At 33.0% G+C, this 11,238-nt stretch overlaps 1 annotated feature.

Moving 5' to 3' along the window:
- Nucleotides 10,238-10,739: an enhancer, noted in NCBI's record as "NANOG hESC enhancer chr5:84323159-84323660 (GRCh37/hg19 assembly coordinates)". NCBI's record gives its function as "activates a minimal SCP1, AML or CMV promoter by ChIP-STARR-seq in naive H9 embryonic stem cells {active_cell/tissue: H9 hESC(naive)}" and the evidence as "EXISTENCE:reporter gene assay evidence [ECO:0000049][PMID:30033119]".

Genomic DNA, 11,238 nt, shown 5'->3' with positions numbered 1-11,238 from the left:
GGTCTTACTGCATAGCCCAGGCTGGTCTTAAACTCCTGGGCTCAAGGGATTCTTATACTCCAGCCTACCATGTAGCTGAGACTATGGGAGAGCATTACTGGGCCCGGCAACTGTATATGTATTTTTTGAGTGCTGAAAATGCAGAAGTTACTCATTCTACATCATCATCACTAATGATAATATCCAGCACTGGTTATTTTTCAAGCCTAGTAAATACAGGTTCACTTTAACTCTTTTTAAGTAAACTTACTGTTATTGGTTGAATTTTGTCACTGACCACTCATATGTATGTTGAATGCCTAAATCCCAGTACCTCAGTATGTGACTGTAATTGGAGATAGGGCCTTTGCACTAATGATTACATTAAAATGAGGTAATTAGAAGGGTCCTTATCCAATCTAACTGCTATCCCTCTAAAAAGGGGAAATTAAGACACTCAAGAGACACCAGGGGCACTTGTACTTGCATACAGAAAGGTGATTATGTAAGCACACAGCAAGAAGGGGGCCATGTGCAAGCCAAGAGGAAAACCCTCAGAAGAAATCAAACCTACAATATTTTGATCTTAAACTGTGAGAAAATAAATTTATGTTGTTTAAAGCCATACCGTCTGTGGTATATTTATGGCAGCCCTAAAAAACTAAAATACTTGCTTAAGATCAGTTTATTCAAAAAAAACTAGCTAATAGAAAGCAAATTACCAAATAAACAATTTACCAAATAACATGTTCAAAAGAATCACCAAAACATTTTGCCAAAAATTTAGTTTCCAATTGTTATTTTGCTGATAAATTTGACAACAGTTCGTTAAGCCAGGTTTAACAGGTTTAAGCAGTTTTAGACATTGAGGCTTGAAAGTTAGAGCAAATTTGGTGTCACTTTTAAAAACAAATAAAATAAAAAAATAAAAATAAAAAGGATGTCAGTATGTTACACACAGGAGGGCATACTTCATATTTATCACCTGGCAGACTGGAGAAAAGTTGCATCAAACTGTTTTATGCATCTGTGCAGTGCTGAAGTCATCTGCTATCATCAGCACTAATAATGATGGGGATAACAATAATATTCTGCTACATTTACATAACAATTTTTACTTTGGGAAAAGATTTTCACATACATCTCCTCATTTGTTTTTTTTTATAATGACTCTTTGAGAAACTAAGGTAAATGTTTTACAAGTCTCATTTTATGAAAGAGAAAATTAGAGTACAAAGAAGATACTGACCTGACAATATCATATAACTGGAGCTAGACTTCTACTTCAGGTTTTTAAAATGTTTTTGAATCAATAGAATTCATGATTTGCAATGTTTTCCTAATTTCTATAAAAACACACTTAGAACCATAAATTTTCATCAACCATAACAGACAACTGGTAAGCGGGCATGTGTTAAACAATTGAGATATTAGAAAGAAAGATATGTCTCTGATGAGCAGAGCAAAAGGGAATGTAAGTCAAAAGATATCTAAAGACTGTATAGCTTCTGGAATAATAAATTGGTAGTTTTCCTTATTTTTCATTCGTTGTTTCAGAAAGTGTTTAACTTTTGATACTATCACCACTGTAAAATATAATAGTAACAGTAAATAAATCTCCATGTTGTCCAAAAAAAAAAAAAAAGTTAGTAAATACTTTGACTAAAGTCAAAGAGTTAATAAATAAGATTCCCAAAATTCAAAATGAAGCTCTTTCATTCTGGTTTAGGAGTGCGGTACTACCACATTTACCTTTATGGTAAAAACCATAAATGATACAAAGCTTTCTTAAATTTCAGAGTACAAAGGAATATCTTTTCTGGGGTTATTAGATTAGATTTACTGGAAGATGGACTATATTGTATAAAATGAAGAAGAATTCATATTTTATTAGAGCAAAGATATAGGAAGAGCATCACAAAGTTTTACGAATGGCAATCCATTCATCTTGTTTGAAATATATTATATAAAGAGCTTCTGGAATAATCACATAGTAGAACCTGATTATGACAAGCATTGTTTACAAGTCTAAAATTTGCAACAAATTTATTAGAAAATGGAAAGCCAATAAAGCTTGTATTACTTAATATTCTTTTAATTATAAAAAGATACTTAGGTTGAGCATCACCAATACAAAAATTTGAAAGCTAAAATGCTCCAAAATCCAAAGGTTTTTGAGCATCAACATAATGCCATAAGTGGAGAATTCCACACACAAGTACTTAACAAAAACTTTGTCACTGGCACACAATTATTTAAAATAATGTGTAAAATCACCTTCAGGCTATGTGTATAAGGTGTGTAGGAAACATAAATGAATTTCATGTTTAGACTTGGGCCTCATCCCCAAGATATCTCATTATATATATTCAAATATTCCAAAATTTGAAAAAAATCAAAATCTAAGACAGTTCTCGTTCCAATAATTTTGGATATGGGATAGTTAGCCTGTGCTTGGGGCAGAAGAATCTGAGGGGAATTTGGGTACAAAGCCCAATAAGATTTAAAAATTGGTGTATTATGATGTTATTAACCAAAATAAATAAGCTAGAAGAAACTGATATGCTGTGGAAAAGTAAAGTGGGTCTGTGTGTCACAAATATCTTTTATATTAAAGATATAAATTAGCCTTTGTGATAACATTATCCAATTGTGTCACTTGGGACACTGGCTAATTAAATAAAAAATCAAATTACATTTTTAGTTGGGTCAAGAAATCCATTTTTGAAAGGGAAAGTCGAGTTTTTAAAATTATCTTAGAAAATAGATGAATAGGGGTAGGAGAGAGAGAGAAATGACACTCTCAAGGAACAATAGAGATTCCATACTATTTCTCATAAATCATTTTTCTTTTAACTATATTATTTTACTTATATTGCCTATGTGACTATGGGATATTGTAGGAAGATTATAATGTATTATTAATGACAGCACTTGACTTTTTGAGGGGATGAGGGCACCCAATAACAGATTATAAAAAATGAGAAAGTTTCCTTCACAGTGACAGAAGCCTCAGAACGAAAATTCCTAGATTACCAACAAATCACACTAATTTCTAGTTTAAAAACCTAAGAGGAATATGAAATATCTACATATTTGTAAAAAAATAAAGAATACATTCCAATAAGCAAAAATTGGTATGGCGATATTTATAGAATTTATAATGTCACAAAAATATCTTAGAAATTGCTTAACACTTTTATTTCAGTATATAAAAGTTAACATAGTTATTTTAACATAAAGCCAAAAATTGTGTTGTTTTATTTTTCCATGATGTTAATGTTAGTTTAAATTTTTATTATATATTTTCTTGGCAGCATAATGGTCGTTTTACAAGCCCTCTTGCTGTTTCTTCTTCACATCAAACTCATTCTGGCCCATGGCCATTCTATTTGCTTTTAATTCTTCCCATATTATCCTGATCTAGATCTTTACATTATTACTGCTCTGCACATTTCCAGTCTCTGTTAGAATAGGAGTGCTTCAGAGAACTTGTCCATGGTCACTTTATCTAAAATAATAACCACCCATCATTCATTCATGCTCTCATTTTTCTTCTAGGCATTTGTCCTAATTTGGTATTACATTAAATATGGCTTTGCTTCTGTAGCTGCTTAGTGTTAGTTTTCCCCCCCACTGAAAAGACACATTCCATGGGAACAGGAATTTTTCTTCAGAAGTCTGGAGATAGAGTTCATGATCCACTTCTCCTGTGTTGTGCCTAATCTTTCCATTGTCCATTGGCTTTTCTGGCACTGTTTGGCACAAAGAGAGTCACCAGCCACCTATTTTCTAAATGAATGAATTAAAGAATGAGGCAGTTTTTGCCAAACAATGTTTAATGCAAATCTTCTTATTCTTGCATTCCAATATCTGTTATTCTTGCTACGTTTCTTTCTTTATTGTTAAAGTATGCTGTGGGCTGACAGAATGAACTTCCAGTGGCAAATTGAGGTGGTCAAAGTTCAAATAGAACTAGGTGGCCATCCTTGCATGAAGGAAGTCAGTCACACACTCTTGAGTTCTCTGAAAGATGTTGTAAAAGTATCACAAGACCTACCTGCCTACAATCAAGTCAAACTACTTTCTGTTGTGGGTACCAAGATAAACTATGGCCAGAAACCATCTACGCACCAGCAGTTTGAAAGAAATATCTGACAGAAACTTCTGGTTTTGGGCTTGGAAAACAAACAGAGCTCACCTTACCAGCCAATCAGGGCTCAGCTGTATCAACCAATCAGGGATCAGTTGCATTGACCAATCAGAACTTAGCCGCACTCGCCAATCAGAAATGAGCTTCCATCCTTAATCTGCATAAACAAACCTGGTTGGGAACCTGGGCTTGGTGGGGTGATATTGTGCTATAAAATGAGAACCCTCTCTTTGTTCTCTGCAACACTCTTTCATTTAACCCAAGGTGGTGGTGTGTCCTGGGTTTTAAGACTGGACTGTTCACTGGAATAAATTATATTTGCTCTAAAACTCCTTTCAGAGACGTTTTGTTCACACCCTCAATTCTAGTGAGTCCATTTTCAGGCTTCCTCGGTTTGCATAACATTCCAATCATCAGTTTTTACTTTGCCTTTCTTTTTTTTTTTTTTTTTTTTTTGCATTAGTTGTATATTGTCACTGTCTCTCCAGTTCACATTTGCCAGACAATTAAAACATTGTTTACTTCATACCTATACTGTAAAATCAACCTCTTAAGAAATATTGCACACTAATAATTATGCCATGCATGTAATTCCAATTGCTTATAAAATGGACACCCACTTCTTATTCTCACACCTTAATCTTGTTCTAAATTATTTTTCTCACACTATTTCCTACTACTACTTACCACCCCTTATTATTGCTTTATTAGTTGCTGGCCTTGCAATACCTCATTTTTATGTGTTTTAGTTTTCTTTCACTGTACATGAGCCATTTTTCTTTTTAATTTCATCTGTTATTCTTCAGTACTCAATTTATGATGCACCTCCATTTATTGTTTCTCTGATTTACTCCATTTTCCAATATTCTCTCTTGAAATTTAATGTTTTATATCAGTTAATATCTTACAAATGTAGATTATGATAGAACATACTTTTGTTGATTGATTAGTATTTTCCTCACTCTAAACTGTTACCCTTACAACTTAGAAATATAAGTGCATGCATAGAAACTTACTGTAAAACTTGGTCTCTGTGATGAAATAGGTTAATTATATAGGTATTCCTAGAGGGATAAGACCTAATGTTGTTTTTTGAAACACACAAGTCTCCTAGAGTTAGCAACAGTGTTTAATTTTAAATACAATTTTCTGAAATAGTGAAAAATATGGTATAGGAATGTTTATACTATACAAAATTCCTTTATTGTGTAGTAAGTAATAATTCGTCAAACATAGACAGTAAGACTAATGAAGAGAACAACCAAATGGAGAGACAAATAGGTCCGTATACGTTGTAAATATCTTTCTTCTAGGTATTTAAAAGATAAGATGTTAAACGATAGAGTACACTAAGAAAGTGGGAGATTAATGCTTTCTGCTTGAATGCTTATTTGGCTAGAACAGATATTCAAATTAAATCGAGGTAAGGCCATTGCTGTCAAATTTTGGTCTAGATTGTTTAACACTGGGTGTTACTAGGTTTTAAGTAAAGTATTTTAGAATAATTGATTTTTTTATCTATTACAAGATTCTAATGAGCAGAGTAATTTACGACAGTCCAAACAAGTTGACTAAAAAAAGAATTAAATTAGACTAAAAGTAAAGACCGGCGAAATTTATTTGGAGAATGCAGATTCTAAAGCTGATATTGGTTTTGTTTTTGATGTGAGAGTACATAAGTCTTGGTCATAGTTATTAATGTAAAATCAACTTACCTCTTAGGGATATTGAGTGAGTAAAATCAAAATCATAAGTGAGTAGCAAAAGGCACATGGGTTCCAATGCCACCAAGATATAACAGATCAACAATCAGAGTTTTTACCACAATCATATGTAATTATTTATCTTTTTAAAGTTTAGAATTCAGAATTCTGATAGTAAAGAAGTTCTAAAAAGAAATATCAATTTTTTAAAATATGTAATAGCTGCTGTATTATTTTTATATCATTCTTAAAAAAGATAAAATCACAAGAGCTAGTCAACTTCAATGAAATACCAGAATAAAGAAAATGTTATATACTATCAAAAATGCATGAAGAGTGTCGGAAATGATGGTTTCTTTGCATCTATTCAGCTATATAGGCAAAGATCCTTTAACAGATTCTGAAGAGGTTGATTTAACTCTCAAAACTAAATACAGATTGAGCACCTTTAAACTGAAAATCCAAAGTTTGGTATTCTCCAAAATTTGAAACATTTTGAATGTCTACATGACGGCACAGGTAGAAAATTCTACATCTGATACCTTTGTTTTCTGATGATTCAATGTTCAAAAACCATGTTCATGCATAAAGTAATTAAAATATTGTACAAAATTACCTTCAGGCTATGTATATAAGGTGTACATAAAAACATAAATGAATTTCTTCTTTAGACTTGGCCTTATCCCCATATCTCATTTTGTATATGCAAATATTCTAAAATATAACAAAATCCAAAATGCTTCTAGTCCCCAACATTTCAGATAAATGATACTCAACCTGTATAATTTGTATTCACTTTTGAAATGGGCTTTCACTTTAATTTTGAAAATGACTAAGACATTCAGGAAAACATGACTTTTGCAATTTGTCGACTGAACTGTGGAGTGATTATCTTATTGCTCACTCCCCCCACAGCAACCACTCTTCTCCTTGTCCGTGTAGAGCAACTACAAAATCTGGTTAGTATGTGATGTATTCTGAGTGGAGATAACATATTGTAGTGTTTTGACCTTTTCAATATTCTACACTTCAATTGGCTGTCCATTCTATATCCTCCCTACAGGTTAGTGGGACAGAAAGCAAGGGAAAAATGCAATGAGTAGCCAATCAAATCATAGAACATTGAAAAGGTCAAAGCTGTATATTAGAAGACTGTAATCGACAGAATGTATGAGACATTAAAATTCTACCACCTCATTCTTATGGCAAAGACTATAATGAAACAGAAAATGGCACTATATAAATCTGTTCATATGACAATCATTGTTCTGAGAACTGAGAACATAACACATTCCAATTATAATTTTAAAAATTGCATTATTTTGGCATCCCACAGATTTTGTAGTGTAGTTAAATTACACATAGTCAGCAGAACTAGTTATCTAACAGTATATATTCAGTCTAACACAGAATGACATATTAATATTACATTAAATGGCTCTACATTTATAAAAATCTAAAGAGACATCCCTAAAATAAAGAACTAAAGAATACTTTTTCTCTTATACAGGACTCACTAAACTTACTTGAAGAGCTTATGGAAATTGTTTTTTGTTTTAAAAGAGAGAAGTAATATGAGAGAGTTTTTTCCATTTAGACAAAAGCAATCTTAATTGATGATTTTTTTTAAAAGACTCAGAGGTCCCTGAAATAAAGCTATACAGCCTGAAGCAGGAAATACATTTGGCATCTGGTTGCTAGATGATAATTAAGAAAGACAGGTTCAGTCAGAGCACTGACCCAGAAGCCACAATTTAAGTGTCAATGAATAGAGTCAATATTCCCTTGACCACTCACATCTAGAGGAGATCATCTGAAAAAGAAAGAGAGTGGGGGTAAAACAGACTTACAGGATTTCAACAAATGATTTTGTAATGAATCTTGGCATAATTCAGAGGGAATAAATAAAAAGCTTACAATGAATTGTTACAGAACATGACATTTTAATACCCATATTTGCTGTCAAATTTTAAAAAGTGATCATGCTTATGATAAATACACAGCCATTAATATTAATAACAGCTGGTGTATAAATGCCTATGGAAAGGGATCAATGTGTTTATAATTTGTTTTTGGCTGTTATTTTATTTACAATTTTAATAAGTTTGATAGAGTTTTTGGAAGAAAAATAAAAAGCTAAATATGTACATTTTAAATTTCCTACCAATACCTTTTTATTTTAACTCTATAGATGAATGAAGAAGTCGAAAAATTATTTCCTTTTTTTAGGAAAATAGAACAGTTGTTTCCAAGCTTTTAGTGTCTTAACCAGAATGATATCAAGAATTTGTATTAAAAGTCTTTCAGCTCAACTTTAAGTAGGAAATGCACATGTGAATTAAAAAAAAACTTAGGCACCAGCATTTCTCTCCATGAGCAAACAGGTATAAATTTCTATCAGATTTTTCAGACATTGAATATGCCTAATTTTAAACTATGAAATGAGACTTATTTTCTAATAATACCAACTGTATTTTTAAAAAAATTTTTGGCAATCACAAAGTGGGTCTGCAATGAAATTCACTTAGCTTTTGGGGTACTGTTTCCACTGATTTCAGAGTTCTGGGAAACTCAGTCAATTTTTATTTATCTTATGATTGCTAAGCATTGTTTAAGACTGCACCCATTCCCTATTGCATTTACAGCCGTCTAAGCACAAACATAGCAGTGGTAGTTACAAATTGCCCTGACTTTGGAGAAAGGGAATCTTGTCTGAGTGTCATCCTCTGTCCTCCCGAGCAGCAGAAGTTTTTGGAGTAATACTTTGAGTTGACTTTTGTGGCTTTTGCAACATATTAGTATACACTTTCTATAACCCCTCTTCATGAAATCCAAATAATTTGTTTACTTCTTGTCTAAACCCTACGCTCTTTGGATCCAACAACATGCTTACAGTCTCTTTGACTAAATAGGTGACAGTGGGGATGCAGCTCAAGGATGATTTTTGGAAAATTTTCTGTAACATTTAAATTATCTCTAAAATTTTCTCTAAAGCCAAAAAACATTATAAGAATGTTCTGCTCATTAACCCAAATGCTTTTTAAAATATATTTGTTAATGTACAAACCTAGGCACCACATTTTTGTGAAATATTTACTAGGTTGATTGTTTCCTGAGCCAAACTGCGGATATCAATACACAGATATGTTCTTAGATTCCCTTAAAACATAAGGGAATTATGTTTAGATTTTCCTTTTCCTGTGTGTCAGCTCATTACCTCAAATCAAGATCTTGTGACACCATTTATTCTTAACTCCAGGGTTCAGCATAAGAACTTCATATTCTTTGTTTTTCAGGACTTGTTCTTGATAGAAAAAGCCAAACTTTTTATAAAATTACAAATCATTGTTCTTTCATATAAGCCTAGCTTTTACAAATCAAGAGAATTTTGGCATTGACAAATTGTCTCTGATATTTGATAGTTTGATAGCTATCTTTTAAAACTGGAAGCTAAAACACAATTGACCTGGTTTATTCAACAGCAACATCAGATGTATAAAAAAGGGGGAATGTGGAGAAATTATTAATGGGTAAATTAAAATGATGGAAGAGACATTTCAATCAAATTAATGCAAAGTTTGATCTTGCTCAGATCTCAATCAAATAATGCATGTATGAAAAATTTTTAAGACCTTTCAGCAGATGTCAGTATGAACTGAATATTATAATGATCTGATTATGATAAGGCTACCTTAAGAAAAATGGTCTTTATTATTTACAAATATATAATAATATTTTCAGGTTAAAAGATAAAATTTCTGATATTTTCTTTAGAGAATCTAGAAAAAACTAAAATATAAATGTGTATAATGGATGCACAGGCAGATAAAGCAATATAGTGAATGTAGAGACATATAAAACATTATTGTTATTGTGGATGGAGAGGCAGATGAAACAATATTAAAGAGATAAAATAATATTGATAGAAGATTAGTTATTACTGAAACATGATTATGGATACATAGGAATTCATTATTTTATCTATTTGATATTAATGTTTAAACACTTCTAAAATTCTAATTCTGATAATAATGGTTTATCAAACTAAAAATTCTTCTGACAGTAACAATAAACTCTGCACTCTCCATAAAAATACTGCTTGATGGCACTGCAAGTTTATGAAAAGCATAAAGAAAGTGGAGGAGATAGAATCTTTTAAAAAGGGAAACATATCATGTGAATCTATATTTAATTGACTTTTCCATTGAAGGCACATTCCAGTCAATGAAGCACATAGGGACCATAGCTTAAGTAGTAAATGGGAATCTTATGGGCTCAGAATTCAGGCATACCAGTGTGGTTGATAATTGAAAGGAGAATGCCAGAGAGTAGCGAAATTAAGAGGAAAGATCTTATGTCTTGTGAACAAAGGTTCTCTGAAAAGGAATTAGATTTGTATTCCAGTGAATAGTTTGCAAACTGGGGAGACGCAGTCTTGGGTGTAAAATGAATGTACTTTCCAAAGAAAAAAAAGAGAGGGTTTGGATTTTATGTCAGAAGTCCCTGCCCAGTTTCCCAATCAGGTCTGTTATGCAAATACAGGATTTAAGCTTACCTAGGTTCTGATTGTTTGGTGCAGTGGAGTTGCGACTGGTTGATATAGCTGAACCCTGATTGGCCAGGGCAGATAAGTTCTGATTAGTTGGTTTCCAAGCCCAAAACCAGAGGTCTCTTGTTTCTTTCAAACTGGTGGGGCGAGCAGATTTGTGCCCACAGTTTATCTTGGCATCAACAACAGAAATTGATTTGGCTTGATTGTAGAAAACGAAAAATCCTGTGATACTTTTACAACATCTTCAGCCAGGTTGAGGTACAGCAGCTCAATCAATCATAGTTCATTGTAGCCTCAAACTCCTGGGCTCAAGCGATACTCCTGTCTCAGTCTCCCAACTAGATAGAAACTACAGGTGCATGCCATTGTGCCTGGCTAATTACTTTTACTTTTTTGTAGGCAGGGTCTCCTTATGTGGCCCAGGCTCATCTGGAACTTCCAGCCTCAAATAATTCTTGGCCTCCCAAAGTGCTGGTATTACAAGTGTAAACCACCATGCCTGGTCTACAATATCTTTCTTAGTACAAAGAGTATGTGATTGCTCCTTCACCCAGCCATGTCCACTTGGTTCTGTTTTAACACTGAGCACTTCAATTTGCCATGGGAGTTCATTTTGTCTGTAGGCCGGGGAGATAACTTTAACAATCTGAATACATGTTCTCATTTAACGTTTGTCTGCCTACTAATTTTTTTTTTTTTTTTTGAGACGGAGTCACGCCCTCTGTCTCCCAGGCTGGAGTGCAGGAGCACGATCTCGGCTCACTGCAGCCTCTGCCTCACGGGTTCAAGCAATTCTCCTGCCTCAGCCTCCCAAGTACTGACTACTATATTTTACATTTAGTAGTGTGTGA

This window comes from Homo sapiens, chromosome 5, assembly GCF_000001405.40.
Source record: "Homo sapiens chromosome 5, GRCh38.p14 Primary Assembly".
NCBI lineage: Eukaryota > Metazoa > Chordata > Mammalia > Primates > Hominidae > Homo > Homo sapiens.
The sequence above is the reverse complement of the archived record's forward strand: the minus strand, read 5'-3'. Positions and strand labels throughout refer to the sequence as shown.